At 36.9% G+C, this 27,500-nt stretch overlaps 1 protein-coding gene across 23 annotated transcripts in view, besides 2 other annotated features; it reads right to left on the minus strand.

Moving 5' to 3' along the window:
- The window catches only part of TASP1 (taspase 1), a 534,161-nt gene that overhangs the window by 424,990 nt on the left and 81,671 nt on the right, over positions 1 to 27,500 (minus strand). For 20 of the 23 annotated variants that reach the window (XR_001754319.3, XR_007067463.1, NR_136629.2 and 17 more), the window contains one exon: positions 4,261 to 4,380. Coding sequence is in view for 17 of the 23 variants with exons in the window: in XM_047440269.1 (XP_047296225.1) it covers positions 4,261 to 4,380 (120 nt within the window). In the remaining 6 variants the exon portion in view is untranslated. Of the gene's footprint in view, positions 1 to 4,260; positions 4,381 to 7,179; positions 7,289 to 22,125; positions 22,229 to 27,500 lie in introns of those variants that run through there. The other 3 variants (XM_017027931.3, XM_047440277.1, XM_017027929.3) reach the window with 2 other exon arrangements.
- Positions 6,229 to 6,760: an enhancer, noted in NCBI's record as "NANOG hESC enhancer chr20:13516637-13517168 (GRCh37/hg19 assembly coordinates)". NCBI's record gives its function as "activates a minimal SCP1, AML or CMV promoter by ChIP-STARR-seq in naive H9 embryonic stem cells {active_cell/tissue: H9 hESC(naive)}" and the evidence as "EXISTENCE:reporter gene assay evidence [ECO:0000049][PMID:30033119]".
- Positions 19,761 to 20,055: a silencer, noted in NCBI's record as "tiled region #15076; HepG2 Repressive non-DNase unmatched - State 15:Elon". NCBI's record gives its function as "represses a minimal TATA promoter and a strong SV40 promoter by Sharpr-MPRA in HepG2 cells {active_cell/tissue: HepG2}" and the evidence as "EXISTENCE:reporter gene assay evidence [ECO:0000049][PMID:27701403]".

Genomic DNA, 27,500 nt, shown 5'->3' on the forward strand with positions numbered 1-27,500 from the left:
TAAGACTGAGGATGGGGACCAGACTTCAGCTTTCTATGATATTCTGTTATTTTTTTACAAGGATCTTAGAAATCATTCGCTCCAATATTCTACCCAGAGCGGGAATCTCCATGAAACATCCCAGGCACTTCTGACACTGAGAACCTCACTGCCTCATGTGGGAACACATTCTGTTTACGGACACTTCCCATTGGTAGCAAATATGTGCTGTATTATAACCTCCAACCACTAGTCCTGCCTCTGCTCTCTGGAAGTACTGTAACCTCCCCCAGAAAGTCCTCCAATTTTTTAAAAACAGCTATTTTAGTTCTCTTTTCTAACCCAAAGAAACCCAAATTTGTGAGCTGTTCCCCAAGACTCTGCGATGCACAAACCCACCACTCTCTCATAATTACCCTCCTAGAGAAATAAGTCAGTGTCCAGGATAACCAGAGACGGAAGTCTCCCATGTTCATGTGACCCATAGTTGCTATCTCCAGATGTTACAGACAATATCCCTCTTAAAATTAGAAGCAAGAACTGAGCGGGATACTCTCAATATGGTAGACATTGGGAAATCTGTTTACTGTTTCTGACAACACCACGCTTCTAAAATACATGCTGGCTCAGGGTCAGTGTGGCAACTGAAAGCCCTTCAGAAGTGATTTAGAATATGAATTTATAAATAAACTGGCAGACTTGTGGGATAACTATTCAACTGGTACTCCCTGAAGCAAGTGCTGGGTCAGCCAGTCTCAGAGAACACAAGAAATCAATGGAAGGACCCATTCTTTCTTCATTGAAAACTATCATCTTTTACGTCCCCCACAATTAACATGACCAGTAGCCTGCACTCAAAAAATAGTAAATAAGGTCCCAAGGACACCTCTTATAAAGCCAGGGGAGGTCATCTTTCTAGAAAAGAACATTTACACTTACCCTTTGCTCCTTCCCTTTAAGAAAATTCCCTTTATGATACCCTTCCTTAGTTTCAAGACCTAAAATTGTCTTTCTTCTTAACCTTCTGAAATTCATTGGGCTGAGACAGTGATAGGTAAGATAAAAGAATTAGAGGTTGTCCATCTCTTATCCACTTCATTGGATAAAATATGGCAACCTTAAGCAAGCCTTTAAAAACAAATTTTTAAAATCTTACTTCTTTTTGGTAGTAAAACTGTATTAAAATTTTATTAAAGCTATTATCATGCAGTAAAAGTAGGTCATATAAATGATATTATTATTAGTCTTCTCTGGGCAATAGTTTCCTCTTCTATACAATAAAGATAATGAAAATACCTACCTCATATTGTTGTCACAGGATCATGCGAATTAACGTACTTGCTGAACATAGCAAGTGCTTAATTAACAGTAGCTATAGCTGTTATTACTAGGGGCTATAATATGTAATTTAAATACATTTTGACATTGAATCTTCTACAAGTTTGTAAGGTAGCCGGTTATCCCCATTTTACAGAGGTGGAAAGTGGAGCTGAAAGATGTTAAGTAACTTGTTCAAAGTAAGGGGCATGGTAAATGGGGAGGTGGGATTAGAATAGAGGTTTACCTAGATCGGAAGTCCACACTTAACCAGTAAACTCAACCGCCTATTTGTGTGGGGGTGGGGTGAGGTTTAGGAGGACAAATGAAATATAATAATTCCTTTCTCATGTCCAAACTGTAAATTCAAATTATTACAGTAAGCTAAAGAAGCAAATAAGTTCTAATTCAAATTGCCATTTCTTATCCTTTTTTTTTTTTTTTCTTTTTTTTGAGACAGAATCTTGCTCTGTCTCCCAGGCTGGAGTGCAGTGGCATGTTTGGCTCACTGCAACCTCAGCCTCTCAGGTTCAAGCAATTCTCCTGCCTCAGTCTCCCCAAGTAGCTGGGATTACAGGTGTCAGCCATCATGCTCAGATAATTTTTGTTCTGTTTTGTTTTGTTTTGACACAGAGTCTCACTCTCACCCACGCTGGAGTGCAGTAGCGAGATCTCAGCTCACTGCAACCTCTGCCTCCCAGGTTCAAGCGATTCTCTTGCCTTATCCCCCCCAACTGGCTGGGATTACAGGCTTATACCACCACGCCCAGCTATTTTTTGTATTTTTAGTAGAGATGGGTGTCACCATGTTGGCCAAGCTGGTCTTGAACTCCTGACTTCAACTGATCTACCTGCATTGGCCTCCCAAAGTGCTGGGAATTACAGGCGTGAGCCACTGCACCTGGCTTAATTTTTGTATTGTTAGTAGAGATGGCGTGAGCCAAAGTGCTGGGATTACAGAAAACAGTGAGAAAGTCATGGGGACTATAATGCATTGAAGGTGACTCTGCTGGCTTCTCTCACCTTCTCTACTTCTCTATGGGGTTTTACCATGTTGGCCCGGCTGGTCTTGAACTCCTGACCTCAACTGATCTGCCCACCTTGGCCTTCCATGCTGGGATTACAGGAGTGAGCCACTGCGCCTGGCCTCAAATTACCATTCACCATCTGCACTGCTATCACATATCTACAGCAGGGTAATATGCTAAAATTTTTAAGTAGTTAATTGTGCATTTAAAATACATTAAAAGTATCTAGTTTCAGCACACTTTAAAAAATAATTAGCCTTTGATATAACTTGCTTTTGTATTTTGTTTCATTTGGGCTTGTCAAAAAGAACTGTTCTTTACCTCTCATCTGATACTTACATAGTTTCAAGTTTATTACATCTCCTCTATCCAAGCATTATAATCCAATTAAGCAACTGCATTTTCATATAAGCCCTTTTACTCCTTTCTTCCACACTCTTTCCTGATTTTCTAACTCTCAGAAGCTGTGTATTCACAAACTAGCCAAGTGAGGCAAACCAACACATAAATTTTACGGAAGTATTTCTTTTGCTCAGGACAGTTCTAAGTGCAGTGGCAGAATAGCTTCTAGATTGTTAGACGTAATATCCTGCTAACATAGTCCAGAACTATCCTTAGTTCTGTTGTTGCCATTTTGCTAACCAAAACAAACAGAAAACAGTGAGAAAGTCATGGGGACTATAATGCATCAAAGGTGACTCTGCTGGCTTTTCTCTCACCTTCTCTACTAGCGTATCCAAATCTGATATGCCAAGCTTGACTTTCCTATTGCAAACTTGACAAATACACAGGACTTTATAATGTAGAAAAATACCATGACCAGACAAAGGCTTTTACAATGAGTTAAAGCATTGTACATACGTTGAGTAATCATTCCCTATACAGCCCCTTGCACACTAGGCAGAGTAGCACAAAACTAGTTATTCTTCCCTTCCCCTTTTTCCTAGTCTAGGAATGTAAGCAGCTTAGAGCAGATCAAACAACACCACTTTGGGGTGTGCAGTGATATTCTCCATGAATTGGATCTCTCTGCTTCAAATAGTCACTAACCATCATGAAAAAAGTAACTGTGACACTGACTCTTCTTCAAATGTGACAAAGTACACAAAGCATAACAAGACACATTCCATCTATAAGATGCCACCCAAATACTGAGTTTAAATGAACCCTTGCAACTACTCCGTGAGAATATCCAATTCATCTGTTCACTCAACAAACATTTATTAAGCCCACAAGTAATGTGCCAAAATTGATTTATCCTCAGAAAGCTTCCTAGATCAAATAGATTGTTAAATTTCATTCTCAGTATAAAACTAAAAATGAGAGACGGGGGAAAGGGGCAAAGTGAAGAAGATGTGCAAGTGAACTGGGGACAAGCAAATTTTACATAAATTAGACCATCTCCATTTCTAGATTTGTTAAGTGGTATCATGTGTTGGTGACCTGAAATACTGGTTATTTTCTAAAATGGCTGAAATGCTGGATCAGAGGAGGGATGTAAAGGGCCAAATGTCACAATACATGGAACAGAGGAAATAAAAAATGTAACTCTAAAATCATTTCTCCAACTAAAAAGCAAGCAGTATAGTCAAGTAGAGCTTGTTCCTAAAGAGAGTGACATTTACAGAGAGAAAATGGAAACTGGCACACATTTATTAAATGTCTACTAAATACCCAGGCCAGTGCCCAGCCTGCTGAAAGGAGAAAAACTAGGATCAACGATTGTAAAGATGAGAAACAAACCAATTACTATGAGATAGGTTTTCTTAAAAAGAATTTTAAAAAGGTATTTGGTTGATGATTTATACTACATGTTAAAAAACAATGACATTCATTTTTTCTAAAGAAAAAATGTTCCCACTGGTTAAAAAATTGTGAGCTAAAAATTCCATGCTTTACTTTGAAAGGCTAGTTTAAAAAACCCATAATTACTTACCTGCCCAACTCTCCCCGGATGTTTCAAGGCCAAGCCTCCACTGGAGACAGCAGCAGCAACATTCCCTTCGTGGTCCACAACCACAGCGCCTACCGTGTCCAAAGTGCCTGAGTCATTTTCCTGCAGAGCAAAAGTGGCACAAGTATTCACTAGGCATGGAGTGGGACAATCTGATATGACTACATAGCACTTTTCCATACAATCATGACAGAACAAAATCTAAACTAATCCCTAAGTGGAACATTGAGCAATCTCCTAAAATTATCTATTATCAAGTTGCCATTTAAATCCTATTTAAGTCAAAATGTATTTTCCACCGAGAAATCCCAAACAAAAGGTATCCTGTTGCTTTTCTCTAATAATAAGGCTATAGTGTCTTTTTAATGGAGGAAATGTCACAATTTAATATAAATTACAGTATACAGCAGTATCTCTTCATTCTCAAGAATTAAGTTCATGTTTGAGAATGTGTAGAGGAAACCATCGGTGGCATAAATGAGCTAATAATAAATACTCTTGTTGGTATTTCTTTAAGTATTATATACAAACATCTAATAGAAATACATTCCACACAATAAATTAAGAAAATGGCATTTACAATCTTAAAGTATACCACACTATCATTTTTCTCTTAGAGTTCCTTGTTTGTGAGAAAATTTATGGCAAGCTCCCTTCTCTCCTATAACAGTAACATGCTTGCCAATTGTATGGCAGAAAAGTGTACGTTCTTGGAAGGTTTGTGTTTCAATGTTTTGTCCCAGGTCCCACATGTTTAAGGCACATAGTGATATTTACTGACTATGAGCCGCTGTCTCCTACCTCCAAAGTTTATGGGTCACCTGTGCAAGAGAGACAAACACTACACTACTGGATAGAAACAATGATTAAGGGAGGCAAGAAAAAAATTCATGGAAAAAGAAGTCTCATATATTAAAAAGGGGGGTTACGGTAGGTTTTTAGGTTAATAGTAGTCATGGTGGTGTTCTTATGCTAGGGCATTGGTTTTCAAACCTTGCCCTACAACCCTAGACCCCACCCTTACCCCCACCACCAGTATGCATGTAAGAGCCAGGCCCAACGCCGGGTTCAACATGAACAGCTCCTCATCCTGTGTGATTTATTGCTCACATTACTGAGCAGGACTTGGTTGGTACTGAGAGATCCCTAAGAAGCAAAATGACACACTAAAGCCATCACCAGAAAAGTCAATGAGCTCCCGGGCCCATCTCAGAAGTTTAGCAACATTGAAGAGTTTCTAAATAGTGGAAGCAGAATTCAAACAAGAGATGTTTCCCTAAAGCAAACTGGAAAACTCAGAAGTAGAGTGTGCCACAACAAAATTTTACATCAAGTCTGTTAGGAAAAGGTACTTACATCTAGAATTTATATTTCTTGCTCTAAATTCTAACTTCCCTTAAATATACTGATACACTATGACAGTACTTAGTTTGATAGGAAATGCTGAACTGGCTGAAATGAATGCTATATTCCTAATCCCTCTTTTAACCACAGCTAGGGAAAGTCTAGCCAATGGATCCACATGGTCATATCTCAGAATGACATAGTTCTGCTCAAGGCATGTGCCCTTCAAGAATACTTCCTGGCCTGAACTCCCTAAGGAAAGGTTTGATCCACTCCACATCACACTGAATGCAACAGACACTCAGGACATATTTATTTTTTAATTAGGATGCAGGATGTCTGTATCCCTGGTGGTACAAAACATGCCCAATAGTGAGTAACATGCAATGCCATCCCAATGTCAGGGCCAGTTTTCTACCTCTGTTTCGCAAGATTTGACTTCACGCAAATCCAGATGCTGCCGCTATCTTAGGGAAGACTTAACAATAACCAGACTTGCTCATTCAGGTTGGACAAAGCAAAGTCTGTCTTCTCTGGTAGGTAAGATTAAGAACAGCAGTACGGAAATGCATTAAAAACATTTTATTCCAGAAAAGATGGATAATCTTAAAGAGAAATATACTTTTAAGAGGAATATTTGTTTTATAATGCTAATAAATAATTTTATATCTTTGCAATCTTGGGTAGAGAAGTGTTAGTTCCCCAGATGCCAAGTTTGATGTCACCTTTAAGAAGGCTTCTCAAATTTTAATGTGCACACACATCATCAGGAGAATTTGTTTAAATGCAGATTCTGATGGAGCAATCTGGGAACTATCCAAGACTGTATATCTAACAATATTCCACACTATGCTGATGGTCTAACAGCATCCCACCCCAGGGGACCATTATCCACCAAATACCTGCCCCATTCATTCTGAAGCAAACTATTTATAGGCACAAATCTGCTGAAGGAGAAACTTAAACTACCTAAGGCTAACATTATGCCAGTATAAAAGATTTAAGTTCTATCTTGCTCAACTGTCAACTGACAGCATATCACCACTATTATACTACATGGATTTGGTATCTATATTTTAAAATACTGATCTTACACTTTGAATAGCAAACAAATCTCACACAAATAAACAAACTGTAAAATAACTTTCCTCAACAATAACAACAGAGAAGTCAAGAAAGGGTATTCTTTTAAGATTATTTTTGGAAATACTGAGTTTTTATTGACAGACATATGCCAGTACTTTTTGCCCTTATTCTTTGCTATAAAATTCTGGAAATTTTTACACACTTTTTTCCCTAGCCCAAGTAAGGCATAATGTAAAGTGACTGTCTTCATCAGTCCTACCAGATAAGGATGATTGCTTCTGGTAAATAATCAAATTGTGACTTTCATCCTATTTCACTGTCTAACCTTTGAGGGAGGGTTATGTCTCTTTTTTACATTTCAGTTATTTTAATTAATAAATATTATATATATTTATGGTATATAGCATGATGTTTTGATATAGGCATAGATTGTAGAATGGCAGAAATCAAGCTAATTAACATATACATTACCTCACATAATCATTTATTTCTGGCGAGAATGCTTACAATCTACTCTCTTAAGGGTATTTTTCATTAGCTCTTTTTTATAAACTCCAACTGCTGATACTACCCATGCATTCTGTAAAACAGAATTTTATAGAGGGAATAAGTAACGTATACACAATGCTATGCATTATCTGTAAAGTAATTTTCCTAGCATTTCAATCAGGATATTGTGAACCATGAGAACTGTTATACCTAACCAAACTCCTGTAGAAAGATACAAAAACTGATGTCAGTATAACTGGATTATACATACATGGATTTACTGTAACTTCGTTTTCAAAACTGAAAAGTCATGCAAATAATAAAGAATCCTGTTCCAAATTAAGCTAAATATTCCTAAGAGCCTGTAACACCTAAAAAAAATCAGAATTACTTCATAAATATTCAAGAATTAGTTCATAGGCTTCACATACTGCAAAGCAAATTTAAGGATGATGAAGTAATATTTAAGCATTTTTATGAAGTGCAGATAAATTAGGTGAAAGACAAACATTGGTATTTTGGCCATAATAATTTCACAGAGCTCGTTTGTACAGGAATGAAATCTTAGAAAGGTTAAAAAACATACAATGACTGTTACTATATAGAGCTACTATTACACTCTTACACTCTATAAATACTTAAAAAATATATGCACTACACAGATACACATATACCTATTGTCCTTGACTAAAACATGCTATTTGTATTACTTTTTTGATAAAATTGTAACTAAAAAGCAACTGTATAAAACTATAGTCCTCTTCAAAATAAGCATGTATATAAAGTTAGCATAGAGGTTACATGTGTTAAAGAAAACACTGAAATAAAACTTTCTTGAAGTAACCAATAAATAAGCAGTCCCTGTTTTCTCTGTTCCAAATTAGAGATGGTTATTATATAGTTATTATAAGAATTAAAGTAACAGATGTAAACTACTTTAAAATGAATAAATCCCTTCATACAAAGTTAAGGCACTTCCCACCAGAAAATTAAGCTTCTAATCTGCACTCTCTGAAATCTGCCAAGAGACACCATCTATCAGTCTTTTTTTTTTTTTTTTTGAGACAGAATTTCGCTCTTGTTGCCCAGGCTGGAGTGCAATGGCATGATCTTGGCTCACAGCAACCTCCACCTCCCAGGTTTGAGCGATTCTCCTGCCTCAGCTTCCCGAGTAGGGGGATTAAAGGCACCCACCACCACACCCAGCTAATTTTTTTGTATTTTTAGTATAGACACAGTTTCACTATGTTAGCCAGGCTGGTCTTGAACTCCTGACCTCAGGCTATCCACCTGCCTTGGCCTCCCAAAGTGCTGGGATTACAGGCATGAGCCACCAGGCCCAGCCCCATCTACCAGTCTTTTATCTTATTAACTCAGTCTTTCTTCTGTCCAGACTTACTCAAATATCAAGTAGCTAAAAAATAAGAATATATCTTAAATGTATAAGTGCATTCTAAAATAGGTCTATTATGGGATTATCTTAATATAATGATAAAGACACAAATGCATTCTTTGAAAACATACCAAGCCCTCCTCGTATACCTCTGTCAGGTTTGAGAGCAGCATTATAACTGGCATGAGCTTCCACTTGAGAAATGCAGATGACTTATACCCTAACATGACAGTACAATAATGCCATCATAAAGCTTTCACATCTCTGAGTATCCTAAACACAGAGAGATGGCTCCAGCTACAGGACATCTAGACCTAGCTCTATATCTCTCACAAATCAGCCATCCAACAGCAGGGCCACTGTGGGCTACAGTTTATCAACTATGTGTAAACAAAGTATAATCTAGCTAGGCCGGGCTGGGTGGCTCACGCCTGTAATCCCAGCACTTTGGGACGCCAAGGTGGGTGGATCTCCTGAGGCCAGGAGTTCAAGACTAGCCTGGCCAACATGGTGAAACCCTGTCTCTACTACAAATACAAAAAAAAAAATTAGCTAGGCATGGTGGTGTGCACCTGTAGTCCCAGCTACTCAGAGGCTGGGATGGGAGAATCGCTTGAACCCAGGAGGTGGAGGTTGCAGTGAGCCGAGATCACGCCACTGCACTCCAGCCTGGGTGACACAGTGAGACTCTGTCTCAAAAATAATAATAATTTAGCTAGAATTATCTACTCTCACCTATGTGGACTGCATGAAACCAGCAAAAATCTGAACATAGGAACACTCAATGATATTATCTTCCCTCTTTAGAAAATCATCTTCTGATGCCCAATACTATTAACGATGTTTCTTATAAACTATAGTCAAGATGTCTATTCTTAAGTAATCTTTTATTTTCTTTGTTTAATAGGTATGAATTAAATGGCTTTGCAACACTATACAAATTGGTACCAAATATATTTATAGAGCAAGAGGAAAAAAATGTATACCATATAAAAATCTAAACAGAGTGGTCAACATAGCAGACCCTGCCTCTACAAAAAATAAAAAACCCAGCCAGGCATGGTGGCACACACCTGTAGTCTGAGCTACTCAGGAGGCTGAGGCTGGAAGATCCCCTGTGCCCAGGAGTGCAAGGCTATAGTGAGCAATCGTCACACCACTGCACTCCAGTCAGGACAACAGAGTAAGACACTATCTCTAAACAAGCAAAAAAATAAACAATAAAATCTTTATACTATTTATTTCCTAAATCACTTGACAAAAATTAACAGAAGCATTTTCAGGTTAAAATAAAAATAACGTGTTTGAACCATGCTTTTAAGGGGATTTAACATATCTGGGTTAGAGGAATTAAATTCATACCATAAAAAAGATTACTTAAAAATTCCAAACCCTCAAAGATAGCAAAGGACGATGTTTTCTAACTGGTAGAATTCCTATACAATGTTCTGGGGTTTGCAACATTAAAGGTGGAAAAGGCAACAGTTTTCATCTTGGTTTTTAAGATAATCTTTTAAATAATGAATTGGAAGCTTTTCTCTTTAAAATGGAACAGTTTGAAGGGCCTCAGAGTGCATGTTGAATGAGTGTGTGTAAGTGATGGTAGAGATCACACGAATACTCATGGCTTAAATTATTACACAGCTAAACAGTAAATACTATCACAAAAGTAGTTTTATGCAGCTTTAAATCATTTCTATTCTCACTCATACGCAGTTTAATTAATATCATTTAACTTATACCCATAGTGAACCACTGGTTAAAGATTGAGAACCTGGGATATGCTGAACTTGAAATAAAAATTACAGCAAGTTCCTTAAGATGACATTAAGTAGGTCATTAAACTGCATTCATCCTATCAAAATACTTACAGAACACATCTCAAGGACTTCAAATATTAAATATTTAATGATAAGTATGTCCAATTTGACTTATTTGTCTGAAATGAATATTAATCACAATTTTATAATTCTAAATCAAAATTTATAAGTTCTACATTAAATATAAACCTACCTATGACCCAACAATGAAATTCTTAAGTATTTACCAAAGAGAAATCAAAATGTATACCACAAAAAGACTTGTCAAGGGTGTTCATGGCACCTTTATTTGCAATAGCCAAAACCTGGGAACAATCCAAATGTCTATCAACAGGGGAATGGGTAAACGAATCATGATATTGTCAATACTGGAAGATTGCTGAGCAATAAAAAGGAGCCCATGCTATATGTAACAATATGAATAATCTTTCAGACATATGCTGAGCAAAAGAAGCTGGACACAAAAGAACATATAGACTCCATTTTAACGAACAAGTAAAACTATGGTGAAAAAGAATCAGAAAATTGTTATCTTCATTGGGGAGGACACCACCTATGAAGGGGCACAAGAAAACTTTCTGGAGTCATGGAAATATTCTATATTTTGATAGGAGTATTGGTTACATGGTTATATACACATGTTAAAATTCATCGAATTATACACTCAAGATGCATGCATTTTACTGTGTGTAAATTTTACCTGTAAAAAAGGCAAAAAAAAATCAATAGCAATGTACTATCTTAAAAAACAAAACCAAACATTCAAAACATCAGATCATGAACAAATTTTTCAACTTTTTCCTATTGGCATAAGGCATATTTAATACACATTTGGTTGTAACTATAAGAAAAAAGGGAAAACCTGAAAAATATGAATGAGATATTAAGAGACATGGCTCAAAGTCTAATCTGTGGTTAACTATAGAGAATAGACAAAATAAAAGAGAGAAAATATTTAAAGACAAAATGGCTCAAATTTTCCAGCACTGATAGAAAACAAGAATCCTGATCTCCAGGAAGCCAGAGAAAAAGGGAAAAAGCCAGATAGAAAAGAGATGTCACCTACAACAGAATGACAGCCAAATTCCTGGAAGCTCAGTAGGCCAGAAGGCTATAATTGGTTGGTATAATATCCTCAAAGAAAAGCAACTATAAACTTACAAATGGTATTCAACAAAACTGCCTTTTAGGAACAAAATTAAAGACATTTATCAATATATAAATAAATCCAATGAGTTCACTGCCAGGAGGACTGCATTTAATAAAGTCCGTAAGGGGCATTCTACTTAACACTACAACCTGTCCTCCTTCTGCATCCTCCCTACCATCCACACACAAGCACACCTAATCTCCCGTTCTTTGCTCTACTTTATATTTTTTCCATAACATCTCATCACCTTCTAAAATGATAGAATGCTCATATCATTTACATTGCCCATCTCTCTGACAAGATGATAGGCTTCATGAAGGCAGGAACCTTTGCATGTTTTATACACTAACATATGCCAAGCACCCAGAAAAGCCCTTGACACCTCTTAGGCACTCAGTAAACACTTGTTGAATGGATGAATAAATAAATAAATGATATATTTCATGAAGAAGGGAAATAAATGAAGGAGGACAAGCAGACACGCAACAAGAAATGGGTAAGCAAACACAACGGCAAACCTGCATATAAATTAAAACACACAGTGAAACCCTGTCTCTACTAAAAATACAAAACATGAGCCAGGCATGGCGGTGTGTGCCCATAGTCCCAGCTACTCGGGAGGCTGAGGCAGGAGAATTGCTTGAACCCGGGAAACAGAGGTTGCAGTGAGCTGAGATTGTGCCACTGCCCTCCAGCCTGGGCGACAGAGCAAGACTCCGTCTCCAAAAAAAAAAAAAAAAACTTAAAAAATAATAATGTCTTATTGAATGTCATCAGATTGGATTTTAAAATCTGGCTAGATGTTATTTATGAGAGATAAGCCTAAAGCATAAGTATATGGAAAAGTTGAAAGTAAAAGGATGGGGAAGAAAAAACGATACACCAAGCAGATATCAATCCAAACAATGAAACTATGTTAACATCACACAAAATAAGTGTTAAGACAGAAAGCATTAATAGAGATACAGGGCTTTACATGATAAATGCTGAAAGCTTAGAGTCACCAAGGAAATACAATATTTCTAAATTTGTATGTATTTTTAAAAGCCTCAAATTTATGTAAAGTAAAAACAGAGAAATCAACAAATCATACTCCACAATGAGGTATTTCAACATGTTTCTCTCAATTATGAAGAGGTCAAGCAAGAAAAATCAGTAAGAAATGGACGTGAATAGCATATTAAAAAGCTTGATTTTATAGCACTGACAGATCTCTGTACCCAATTTTAGAAAAGAAAGTTTCTTTTCAGGCACAAACTGATCACACGTTAAACCATAAACTAAATCATTAACAAATTTCAAAAAACAATATCAAACAATATACTCTCTGACTATAATACAATTAACTTAGGAGTCAATAAAAGTAGATAAAATTTGGAAATTAAAAGATTAAAAATTCTTCTAAATAATTTATGGATCAAATAAATCAAAATGGAAACAAAAAATACTTAAAAATGAAAAACAAAAATGTAGCATTTCAAAACTTGTGGGATACAGTAAAAGTAGTACTAAGAGGGAAATTTATGTCCAAAATTTTAACATCAGAAAAGAAGAAAAAATTAATAAGCTAACTATCCAACAAAAGAAATTAGAAAGAGAACAAGACAAACACAAAGAAAAAGGGGGAAAAAAACCAAAGAAAAAATGAAAAATCAATGAAGGAGATAGATATAAACTTTAAATAAAGAGACCAAAAAAGGCAAAGTTGGTTCTGTGAGAAAATACTTGAATGAATTCAATCTGATTGGCAATCACTTTCTCTGTGTATCACCTAAATCTCAGCAAAAGCCCATCCCTCCAGCCTTGTCCTCCAACACTAGCCTCATCTCTCTCAAGTAATAACAGACGCTAGCATCTCTGCCTCACTTGTACTTCATACAGTGCAAATGTCACTTTCCACCCCTACCCTCATCCCCACCCCACCCACACCACACATTAAAGTACTACATATCTTCAAGTGATGCAGGCTCAAATAATTCCAGAAAAAGATTTCTTGGCCACGCACAGTGGCTCACGCCTGTAATCCCTACACTTTGGGAGGCCAAGGCAGGCAGATTACTTGAGGTCAGGAGTTCAAGATCAGTCTGGCCAACATGGAGAAACCCCATCTCTACTAAAAATATTTTAAAAAATAGCCAGGCACAATGGCATGCACCTGTAGCCCAGCTACTCAGAAGGCTGAGGCAAGAGAATAGCCTGAACCTTGGAGGTGGAGGCTAGAGTGAGCCGAGATTGCGCCACTGCACTCCAGCCTGGGTGACCCAGCGAGACTCCATCTCAAAAACAAAGATTTCTTGAATCACTTCCCGACCAAACAGGAGGCCCTTGCGCCTTTCAACCTCTAATACACACATTTCTCCACAATACAAGAAGACCATAGGCTGGCTTGTTACAGGATCTTTATTGGCTTATCTTGCCCCTCATGCATCTATAAGCAACAAAGTATCATAAAATTAATATTCTTTAATTGAATCTCATCAATAACTCAAACTTTGTTCCTTCTGAAACTGCATCTTGCTCAATTTGGACATGTGATCCAAACTCAGCTTATCTAAAGCAGTTTTCTATTACCTAACATTTCTGATTATTTCATATTTAGATCTTCCCTAATGTACCATTTTGCACATCACTCTTAAATGAGTTTGTTCCCAAAAGCACATCCTTTAACAACTGCCGTGAAATATTTGGCTGGTCCCCATAATAACCAAACCAAAATCCACACCCATTTCTCGTAATATGGGAGTAATCCTTATTTCTGGAAGTTTTGCGTGCCCTTTAGTCTATTGTTCAAAACAAACTTCTAAGACTAAAACCATCGAACATTAAGCCTCTCACTTTATCTGTAAAAAAATTGTATTTCTTGATATTGGTCCCATATTGCTATATTCAGTGTTTCCTTTTTGAAAAAATTCTTTACTGCCCTCCCATCCTATGAGGTCATTTGGTACTGGATCACACTTTTCTCATTTTTTACTAATTCAGTTCTATTTTACTCCAAAGTTTCTTGATTTCCTAAAAGTGAGAACAAGCAATGCCCATACTACACTTTAGCTCTAACTTTGTTTTTCCCACTGGAGAGCTGGTCATCCTTCACTGTAATCAGTCACCACTGTCTGGGAAATATATTCAAGAGAGAAGAAGAGAACCAAGATCATTTGGTAGTTTTACTTCATAGAGGCATGTGTATCATAGTATTAATACTTCAAAGACAGAAACAACACAACATGCTACTAACATACCGACTAATAGGATATGAATTCATTACTGGGCAGATTTAAAAATACAAAGCTAGACAAGCTAAGACCTTGCTAATTATTAATAAATAGCAAAGAAATCTCCTTTATAAATGCAGGCAACCTTTTCCAATTTAGTTGTCCAATTTGGCTCTTTCCAAAAACACCTAGCTATGGTCTGGACCTCTGGTCTTTCTTTCATTTTAGGGCACATATTTATCTTCTCTGGATAAAATTACACTTTCTCTTTTAAATACGAGAGCTCTGCCAGCCTTTAAACTGAGTCTTATAGCAGTGGGGAGTAACAGATAAAGGACTGGAAGGTAACATGGACAATCTGGATTCTATTCCTGTCAATGAAACACCATAACAGTTGGGATGGGCCACTTAACTTGGATTTAAATTCAACCCTTTCCAGACTGTAGAAAAATATTTAATGTTGACTTAATACAGTAATAAGTTACCTTATTTAACATGAGATTTTTTAAGTACAGCGTATCTATGCATATCACCAAATGGCCATATAATTATGAATATACCCACAAAAATAGAAACTGTTATTCAAAATCATAAATACATGACGATTAAAGATAAGCATATTGAAAAGCAAAAAGAAAGAAATAGTACCTATATACTCTTTATCCTTTCGTTCCTCAATAGATCTTATTAGAAAGTAAAGAACTGAGAGAGTAGGAAAGGAGTTAAGTATATTCTAGGATATAAAATATAACCTAAATTATGATAGTGCCATATCCTAGAAAATCGAATGTCATTCAAATTAATCTCAGTGATGTTTTCAGAGACTCTAAATACCCAAAGCCTGTGTTTAGTTCAAATAGCCACAAGGATGGGCCATTCATACATATTTCAAAATATTCCCCTCATTTGGTCAGAAGTACGATAATACAAATAAAAGTAGCATGATATTCAGGGGGACTCTAGCTATGGTCATAATTCCTCTATGGCCTATTTTACTTTGCTAAATTCTGCAGACAGTTTAACTTTATCAACTGACATTCCCCCACCAGGAATTACAAGCTGCAAAAACCAGCGTTTGGTTTGACCAGCAAAGTGTAGTTTGGTGTTACACATTTTTTTTTAAAATATCTTACAATGGAACACACATGGCCAGTCAGCCCCACTCTCTTCTACTTGTCTACCTCTCTAGACCTGTCTCACACATTTAGGCTGCCTACCTGCCTGGCACCCCTGGCTTCTGAGTTTGAAACCACTGTCCTGCAGAAAACCTACGGTGCAACCAAACTCATCCATTTGCAGGCCTCTGAACCCAGGACTTTTATCTTTCTTTCTACCCAGACATATAAGTCTGACCCTTTATCCAACATCCAGCTTAAATTCCTCCAATTCCATTAAGACTGCCATGTGAAACTTAGCAGAGCTTAGAGTGATTTCTCCATCCAGTTAATTCCTGTGGCTCTCACTGATGATTTTGTTCTTCTAACACATACCAAATGGCATGATTTCTTTTTATTGTTTAATTCCTTCGGATCAAATACATAAAGGGCAGGGACTAGGTGCCATATCCTCTATTCATTCTCTAAGATCTATTTAAAAGCCTGTACATAAATAGCATTCAATAAATGTTTGCTGGTGATAATGTTGAGGCCAAAGGTTAAAAAAAAAAGGACTGGAAAAGAAAAATTAAAGACTGCAAGAAGCCATGACTTCTGGTGGAAAAAACACCAATCAAAGCCCATGCACTTCTCCAAATGACTAGCTGGTAGTTCCTCAAGCTACACAAACTGATGAAGCAGTGAAAATAGAGCACTGCCTGTTTCTTGGGCTAATAATCCAAAAAGGATATTTTACAAACCTCAACACTTCTTCACAGAAAAGACAACAATGCTTACAAAATAAAAATGCTCTTAGCACAGCCAAAAAAAGGCACAATCACAAGCTTCATAAACTTGTCTGAGCTCACAAGGCAATTCATATTTCCATTCTGTAAGTCCCCTAGCCCCCCTGGAAAATCACACATCCAAAATAAACATGTGCTACAAAATAGATAGGAATTCTTGTGATGAGGGTCCATTCCTTTTCTTGGCGGTGTGGGGAAGACATGGTCTAGAAGTTCATTTGTAAACAGGCAGTTTTACCTGCATTAACAGGAAAGGCACTTGGTCAAGTTTCTCTAGATGAGCACGCCCCCTTGTGGGCACTTCCTGACTCACCTCTTTGGAATGGCCAGTGGAGATTGTGGGCTGTTTCAAGCTATTATTTTTCAACATTCATTTCCCTCCCTTACTTACATATTATCTTACATCTCTATAATGTTGAGTGAGCATAATAATATTATTTGGTAATACTTCAGATAACCTATCCCTTTTATTTCCCCAAATACAAGCTTATTGTTAAAACAAGCTTAGTTTTTAGACTAATGCATGTTTGAAGCCCTTAAATAAAAGATTTTAAACCTATTGGAAGACTGCAAAATTTACTATTAAGAGGAAATATCATTATATGGGTTTTCTCTTTCAAAATTAATATTCAAATCATCAGCTGTAGATGCTTAAATTAGTAATGTCAACTGAGTAAAGGCACTATTTCTAGAGACTGTGATAAGGATAAAGTAACAAAATGCTCACGCTTCTATGGACATACACAAACAAAATAACCACATACACCAACCTCAAAATGGCAAATGTGTAAAGCAGATAATTCAATTCAATTAACACTTATTAAGTACCTGTCATCTGTGCCAACTAGAAGAAAGAAATTTGATCTGCATGGCATTGGAGCTAGCTCATAAAGGAAGAGTTGAATTAGAATTTTCAGGAAGCAAAGAAGTAGTTAATATTCCATTATTAATTACTGCTTATCCCATTAAGGGAAGGAATATGAACAAAAACTTGGATTTGAGAACTCTCAGCAAATAAAACTGAAAAGAGAAATATATTTGGTGAGAAAAAAAGGTAATTCCAGAAGGAAGATAATGGAAAAGTAGCTTGTAGCTAGGTTTCAAGAGGGTTTATAAAATTCAGCTTAAAAGTTTGGGTTTTAACCCACAGACAGTAAAGATTCTATTAAAGTTTCTTCCAGGAGAGAGACAAAACCAATGCAGGTATTTTTAGGGAAATGTATCTTCTGATAGCACACAGAATTAAAACGGAATAGAGCAGGACTAGAGGCAAAGAAGCCAGGCATGAAGATACTGCAACAGTCCAGCCACTGAGGGTGAAAAGACAAAGGCTCACTGGTAGTATGTCTACTAAAAAGAAACAAGAAAAAAAAAAGTAGTGCATGTATTCATTAAATGTTTATTGAGCATTTATTATATGTCAAGCTGAGAAACCATGGTAAATAAGACATACAATAGCTGTCCTCCTGGAACCTCATTCTACTGGAAGATAAAGACATCAAATAACCACACTAATAATGACAGAGAGACAATTGGAGCAGCACAATAGCTTAAAGAGAGAGAAGAAGGAAGGAGACAGGCAACATTCCCTGGATCTGGAATCACAGGTGTGAAGACCTTGACACAGGAAGAATCTTGACAATGTGACCCGGAGTGAGATGGCAAAAGATTGGAAAGACAGACAGCCATGTCTGCTCCCATAGGGTCCTGGGGACTCTGTTGGGGAGCCTATACTTTATTCTTAAGAGCAGCTGGAAGTGAGTTAAGGGTTCAAGCAGGAGCATGACAAAATCAAACTGTACTTTTAGAAAACTTCAAGAATGCTGGGCAGAGAAATGACTGAAAGGGCAGGGCAGTTGTGGGCAGATAGGTAGGAAGCTAGTGCAATCATCCAGGAGAGTGAGTGGAGCATGATTCTAAACATGCTGAGTTAGACTGTGATGGGTCAAACAAGTGAAAATGTGTAATAGGCAGGAGAAAACAGGCAACTGGAACAGGTTGGGACATAAAAAAAAGGAAATGGAAAAATACATATAGATTCATCCATTCAAATAAACCTTCATTAAATAGCTGCTAATGTGTCAGGTCCTCTGCTGGGCAGGGGAAAATAAAGAGCAAGGAGCCTGACTTGAGAGAACTGGCTGCCTGGTGAAGGTTTGACTGTGAACAATGAAAGTGACCCTGAGGCAAATCCTGGAAGCAAAGAGGAAGAGCTGCAACTCCAAGAAGGGAGTTCTAGACTACCTGGAGGAAAACTAAATGAGTGATGCTGGACATGAAGTCATTAACTGAATTCAATCATATAATCCCAGTTCATCTAAAATGTTCCATGTTTATTTATGCAATGGGTGCTTTTCTAAGCCCACTGTGACATATTAGGAAGAACAAGCAATGATCTCAAATACCGGCCCAATAGCTTACCCATTCCTGCAGATTATGATTCGGTATGTTTAAAGCAGAACCTAAGAATCTGTAGTTTTAAAAGTCCCCAGATGAATCTAATGATCAGCCAGGTTTAGGATCCACTAGAATAAAGAATTCCTTAATAAGAGAATCAAGGAAGTTTGGACATACTCCATGTTGACAATGAATATGTATTAAGAGTATTACACCAAGCTAAAAAAGACCATGGTAATTACCTAGTTCAACATGCTGACTTAACTGCTGAGGAAACTAAAGTCTAGAGAGGTTCCATGTTTGCCCAAAGTCTCTGGACTGGCTTATAATAGATCTAGATACAACTCTTGACCCTTTATACACTGTCTCTCACCTTACCCTATTCCCTCCACTCCTCAAGTAATTCCAGTCTCAAGTCTTGAATTTCAAATAGTTCCTGGGACCCGACTATGTATTTAAAATATTCTAAGCTGATTAGAGAAGACACAGCTGAACCAAGGCTTTAAAAAGTTACAGATAATTTTCCATCAACCTAATTAAGCACTGGTTATTTCTTGTCTTGTGATCTTAAAATACCCTTGTACTTGTAATAGGTGTGTGTGTGTGTGTATGTGTGTGTGTGTACACACACATTTGGTTTTTTTAATGCACTCATTTATTCTGCTGTCTTATTAGCTATACATGTGTCAGCATCACCATGTCTATGATAGGGCAAATCAGGTCATTGGTGTATGGTGATAGCATATGATATCACATGGAGACATATTTAAACTTGGAATGTGATGTTCTTAACACCAGCATCTAAGCCAATTTCCAGATATGAAGGCTTCTATCTGTAGTCCCAGTGAGATTCCATTCACTGGAGATATTTCCTGATAGGAAAGCTACAAGGTGGTGACTTGATATTATACACAAGATCAGCTGGGACTATTCCAATGATAACATTAAGAAATGTTCCTTTTTTCCCTCTCCATTGATTCCGTTAAATACTACAAATTTTAAGTCTCTACAGAGCTATTAAATACTCAAAATTTAGGAAGAATTTACAAGGCCGACAATATCTGATGTCAACTTATAACAAATATTCTGACAAACCACAGGTTACTTCCGTTACAAAACAAAAACAGTAGTTAAGATTTCTTAACATTGCCTTCTTGCCTCAATTTCATCTTACTTATAACTTTAAGACTTCATATAGATTTAAGGTATAGCTTGGTGTGGATTTAAGGACGACCTGGGAAGAAACTCAATCTCCTAGGTATTGAATCTTTATATGCTAAGTTAGAAGCTTTTCCTAAATATGGAATATATACACATACACACACACACACACACACACACACACACACACACACAGAGACACTGCAATTGTCCAGTCATCAAAGGTCGAAAGTTTTAGACTCAGATATTGATGATTGGCATAAAGTACTATAAGCTATAAACATTTAGAAGATCCTCATATACTGAAAACAAATGCCAATCATCAGGCTTTATAACCTAAATAAATGTATGGGATGGGGGTGATCCAATAAGACATTAATTAAGTTACTGACCTATCTACTGATTTACATGTAAAATCTGTAGGCTCATCCAGTAATCAAGATAGTCTTATGTGAGGCAAATGTAATTTTCAGTATATTACCTACAACTAAAAAAAAAATTTCAAATACCAGACAATCATTTCACAGAATGAGTTTTCGGTTTTATTTTTAAAAAATACATAAAGTAATCTCTTTATGTAAAAGATAAGTCAAAGAAGTTTCCTACTTTGGTTTACTCATATATTCATATACTAATCAACTTCTTGAGCAATATGACAAAACTCCAGACCATGCAAAGTCAATTTCTAGAGAAGACTAATTACTCCTTTTCCTGCACTCTTAATACTCTAAGAGTCCCTTCCAGTCACATCCAGGGCTGGCTGTTTGAAACTTATATTTATGGAATCTAGATTATGCCATGCATTCACTCAGTTTGTTTTTCCAGTGTCAGGGTCTCCTCTTCTGGCAAGCACAGACAAGTACAAATGGAACAATCTGAGGAAAACATGTTGTTTTTTGTGCATTTATTTTCTTTGATCTTAGCCTACCTCTCACCCAAAAACTACAATGATTTAGTATGATACAGTTAAGCATTTACATAATAATTTCAAGATGGTGGATAAAAGGGAAAAATGTTACCCACAATATACTTCAAAAGAATAGAATATATTTATATGAAGGGTACAAAGCAAGGCCCAACATTTCCTTTCTGAAACATGTGGCCAATTTGATGTCCCTATGTGGTGGCTAAAGAATACAAAATTAAAAGTTGTAGCATCTCTTTAGAGTGGTTTTGAACACACAACATTGTATGAAAGCACCAAAATCATTGCAAAATTTTTTAACTTGTTTATTAAAAATCAAAGAAGGAAAGATATTCATTCACACAATGGAAAATGTCTGATTAACTTTCATTTCACTATCCCATGTAAGTACTGCTTTACCTAAACACCAATGAAATTAATTAAAAACTTAAATTACTTTGTAAAAGTCATGGGAGGAGGCAAATAATTATGTACATTCAACTGTAAAATCTGTTATTAAAGAAAAAGAGATGGAAACTATTTCAACAATATGCTTGTGAAAAATGAAGAGAAAGGAAAAAAAAGGCTTGAAACATCAAAAATGTTGAGATCAAACAATACCCCCAACCTCTTTTAATACTCTAAGAGTCCCTTCCAGTCATATCCAGGGCTGGCTGTTTGAAACTGATATTTATGAAATCTAGATTATGCCATGCATTCAATCAGTTTGTTTTCCCAATACGAGGGTCTCCTCTTTTAGCAAGTAACTCTCAGTCATGTAGCAACCCAGTCAGTCCTGTAGCATAAGCCAAGTACAGCAATTGGCCAATGAGTTAATGAGTTAAACACTTCATTCCAAAAGTAAGGTTTCCTCTTCCAAATAGGATAAAGATTAGTAAACAATACAACCACTTTTTTCTTGTGTCAAAACAAAGCAAACAATAAATTTAAAACAGGTAATCACTTCATCACATACACCACATGAACTTACTGATAAGTATTCCAACAATGAGAGGCCATGGCAATTTTGTAAGGGGAGATCCAGATGTCCATTTGCAGAAATTATGGAAGATACAGGAACATGCTGAACTTTACTGTGTGTATACAATGAGCAAAACTCAGATTGAAGGAAACATCACAGGACAAACAGTCCAGGTTATTTGACAGAAAAATAGTCCTTGCTTTGCCTAATATACATAAATTTCAATTACCAGAGTTTATTTAAATCACACCAGTCCCTCGACAACATGGTTCAAATTTCAATTACCATGGTATTATTAACTCTGAGTAACTGCATGAAATATAAACTCCCCCGCCATCTCCTTGGTTCACAAACCACTGCAAACATCAGTGATGCACATCACGATCAGTGACCAATCATGACATTCTTTGAAAGTCTGTCAGTGATGTGTCACTGTGCAAAGACAGCAGGTGGAAACGTTGCCTCTCTGTCTCTAAGTGATGAATTTACAGAAGAAAGTCAAGGAAAAACAAAAACAAAACAAAACAAAAGTGATAATGCTGGAAGTGAAATTCAAATGAAAGATAAATGAAGTTATACGAGAAATAAGTGACCACGGGCATGTCTGACACTGCTGCCATTAAGGCTCTAGATATACAGACAGAGGAACTTACTAAAGAGGATCTTATCAAGGAGTGGAGTTGGGACAAAAAGGATGAAGATGTCCCAGAGGAAGTGACATTGGCAAAAATTTCACACTAAAGGAAGACTGGCAGCTATGTGGTGACACTGAAAGAGCAAAAGGTAGAATGTTGAAAGCTGATCCAAAATTAGAAAGGAGTATGAAAATTCACCACCACATAGAAAAGATGTTCATATGACATCATAAGTTACATGCTGAGGAGGCAAGTACTGTTCAAATTATAAATTTTTATCCTAAATAAAACACTGTTAATGTTTCTAAATGCTTTAGTGTACTAAGTAAATATTGGTTTTACTTTTTTCTGTTTCCATACACATTTATAACCAACAGTAAAAGAGATTTCTGGGTTTTTCTTTCTGTTTTTCTTCTTTCCTCTTTTTGAGACAGAGTCGGGGAGACAGAGTCTCACTCTGTTGCCCAGGCTGGAGTGCAGTAGCATGATTATGGCTCACTGTAACCTCAAACTCCTGGGCTCAAGCTATCCTCCCACCTCAGCATCCTGAGTAACGGGGACTACAGGTGCATGCCACCATGCCCAGCCAGTTTTTCTTTTGTATTTACATATAGAGAGACAGGGTCTTGCTATGTTATCCAGGCTGGTCTCGAAACTCCTAGCCTCAAGTGATCCTCTTGCCTCGGCCTCCCAAAGCACTGGGATGACAGGTGTGAGTCACTGTACTCCACCAAGAGTTTTTAACGTTTTGACAAAAATATTTAAAGGTCATGGAACAAGCTAAATTTACACCATTAAGCCCACTCTGCATGGTTTCAGCTTGCATGGTCACTTTATGGTCCAGCCCTACCATGCAAAGTATGGACTGTCTGTATACCATAAAAATAAGAAAGAGATAAAAGAAAAATCCAGAAGAGACAGGTCTACCCAGAGAGTGAAGTAGAACAGAACTTAAGGACTACTATTTTTATTTCACAATATAATACTACAGCTAAATAGTCATCTTTTTCTTCTCCATCATGTCTTCCCTCTAAATAACAAAAAAATAAGCAAGGATGAAACAAAGATGCCAATTACCAAGAATGGATAATTACTAAGAATTTATGTTCCTCATTTTAAAGTATTTTATCTTAAAATCTATACATCCTAAAAGCAGAGATAAAATATGCTTTTATTCAATTTATGTATAGACTAGCTATTTAGCTCAATATTACTTTGTATTAACAAGGGATATGTTAATTGTGGGGAAGGAGATTATAAAAACTTATCTCCATTAATGCTATACACTGTAAACGACCTACCAAATAGCCACTACCATTGACAATAAAACTGCTATTTTGTTTGGGAAGACAATGTGTCTATCCTCAAGCCATGAACTATGAGATGGTAATTATGACAACTCACCCAATTTCCTAGGCTCCTTTGCAGCTGGAAATAGCCATGTGACTGAATTGTGCCCCTTCTCAACTACTAAGGAGAAGTTTATTGAGGGAGATTCCAGAAAAATTTTGAATCCCAGATAAAAAAGGAAAATACATCTGGCACTTCTCCCTCTTTGCCATCCTGCCTTACTCTCACTTTGAATGCAGATGTGACATCTAAAATTTCAGGAGCCATATCACATCCATGAGGCAAAGGTATAAGAAAAAGGCCCAAGAGAATACCAGATATGTTAGCCCTAGCATCATCAGAAACCTAAACTAATGCCAGCAACCAACCACCTCCAAACTTATTACTATGTGGCTACGGGCCAGAGAGCAAGGGGACAAATATGCATTTCTTAAACCACAGTCAGGTTTTCCATTGTTTGCAGCCAAAAGCATTCCATGGATTAATAATTCTTACTTTAAACTAATCAAATGTAAGTATAAACGGTCAAAGACTAAAGAAAACAAGAGCGCTCTAATTTATAGAGGTAGAATACCAAGCAGAATAAAGTCTTCTGGCTTTAATTTGTATTTCTACTTGTACTGTGATAATGTTTGTATAATCGATTACTTTAAAAGAAAAAAAATCAATGCAATAAAAAAATCCCAAATTTATCTAGTTTTTTTTTCACACTTTAAATTACAGGCATAACTTGGAAATAGTGCAGGTTTCGTTCCAGACCACCACAATAGAGCAAATATTACAATAAAGTGAGTCAAATAAATATTTTGGTTTCCGAGTGCACATAAAAGTTATGTTTACACTTTACTGTAGTCTATTAAGTGTATAATAGCATTATGTTTAAAAAAATATGCATACCTTAACTTTAAAATAATTTATTGCTAAAAAATGTTACTCATCTGAACCTTCAGCAAGCAATTCATAATCTTTTGGCTGGTGAAGGGCCTTGCCTCAATGTTGATGGCTGCTGACTAATCAGGGTGGCAGTTGCTCATACATGAGATGGCTGTGGCAACTTCTTAAAACAAACTAATAAGGAAGTTTATCACATTGAATGACCCTTCCTTTCACCAAAGATTTCTCTGTAGTACATGATGTTACTTGACAGCATTTTACCCACAGAACTTCTTTCAAAACTGGATTCAACTCTCAAACCCTGCCGTTGCTTTATTAATAAGCTCACCTAATATTTTAAATCCTGGCTGGGCACGGTGGCTCATGCCTGTAATCCCAGCACTTTGGGAGACCAAGGTGGGTGGATCACCTGAGGTCAGGAGTTCCAGACCAGCCTGGCCAACATGGTGAAACCCCATCTCTACTAAAAATACAAAAATTAGCCAGGCGTGGTGGCGGGCGCCTGTAGTCTCAGCTGCTCAGGAGGCTGAGGCAGGAGAATTGCTTGAACCTGTGAGGCGGAGGTTGCAGTGAGCCAAGATCGTGCCACTGCACTCCAGCCTGAGCAACAGATCAAGACTCCCTCTAAAAAAAAAAAAAAAAAAAAAAAATTATAAATCCTTTCTCATTTCAACCATACTTTCAGCATCTTCATCCAGAGTAGATTCCATCTAAATAAATCACTTTTTTTATTTATCCACAAGCAGCAACTCTTCACCTGTAAAGTTCTATCATGAGATTGTAGCAATTCAAGCCACATCTTCAGGCCCTACCTCTAATTCTAGTTCTCTTGCTACTTCCACCACATCCACAGCGACTTCCTCCACTGAAGTCCTGAATCCCTCAAAGTCATCCATGAGGCTTGGAATCCATTTCTTCCAAATGCCTATGAATGTTGATATTTTGACTTTCTCCCATGAATCACGAATATACACAATGGCATCTAGAATAGTGAGTCCTTTCCAGAAGGTTTTCAATTCACCTTGTCCAGATCCATCAGAGGAATCACTATCTATGGCAGCCTTAGCCTTACAAAATGTCTTTCTTAAGCAATAAAGACTTGAAAATCGAAATTACCCCTTGATTCACAGCAAGCATAATGAGGATCTTGGTGGCATATAATTCAAATGAAAGAAACAGAGGCAGATGGTACACCAAAAGGTATTCTATTAGCTTTGGGTGTTTAAGGGGCTATTGGCATCAAGTAATAGGTTTTATGGTGAAAATGGAAAGCATTGGTCAATCTGAGCCCATTAAGTTGGAGATGGGTTAAGAAAGTTACTGATTTCCACTGCCTACTTCTACCACCAGAAAGCCCCATTTCCCCAGCTCTACTCTTTTAGTAAATGGCAAATATCCAACTGCTCAGCTAAAACCCTTAAATCCTCTGCTCAGCTAAAACTCTTAATTCCTCTCTCTTTCTTGCCAATAACTATTGGCATCAATATTGTCTTTCCAGAAACCCTCAAAATATTTTCTGGATATATTCACTTATCGTCATCTCCATCCCTATCACCTACAGTCCAAGGTGCCATAATCTCCAAACTGCAATGACTTTGTAACTAGTCTCCCAACTTCTACTCTTACCTCCCCCTTGGACTGATTATTCACATAGTAGCCCATGGAGAACTTTGCAAAATGTGAATAAGAAAGCACTGTTTCCCTACTTTAAACTCTTCAATGGCTAGCCATTATTCTTGAATAAAATTCAAGAATAAAATAAATAAAATTCTTGAATAAAATTATTGAATAAAATTCAAACTCCTTGCCATGATCTACCAGGTCCTAAAGGAGCTAGCCCATACCAACTGCTCCAGCTTCATCTCATACTATTCTCCCCTTGCTCACTGATTTGGCACACTGACTCTCTCTCTCCATTCCTGTAATGTGCCAAACTCCCACAGGGCCTCTGCACATGCAGCTCATTCTGCCTGGAACACTCTTCCACTGAGTCTTCATAAAAGCCACTCATTTTTTAGATGTCACCTCAAATGTTATCTCCTCATAGGGGTCTCCGTTGACCATCCTATTTAACAAAGTCTTCATTCAGACTCTCACATCCAAGTTACTCTATATCACATCATTTTGTTCTTCTTTTTTTCCTTCATAACAGTTACAAGAATAACTATCTTAATTATATGCTAATATGTCTCTTTCTCCTAAAATGTAAGGTCTCATTAGAGCATGAGCTTCCTCCATCTTGTTCACCATTATTTTCTTACTACCCAGTTCAGTCCCATTTCCTGAATGGAAAACTGAACTACTTGAGTAATTCCAGCTGAAGATATTCTCCATGAGATGCAGTGAAACTCCTATATATAAAAATCCTAACCTGATCTCCACAAAAAGAATGGTATGAGAATTTCACAGCAGCTTTATTCGTAATAGTAAAAAACTGGAAAAAAAATCAAATGTCCATCAACAGGAAAACGGATAAACAAATTAATGTGTATTTATATTAGGAAA

The sequence above is a fragment of the Homo sapiens genome, chromosome 20 (genome assembly GCF_000001405.40).
Source record: "Homo sapiens chromosome 20, GRCh38.p14 Primary Assembly".
Taxonomy (NCBI): domain Eukaryota; kingdom Metazoa; phylum Chordata; class Mammalia; order Primates; family Hominidae; genus Homo; species Homo sapiens.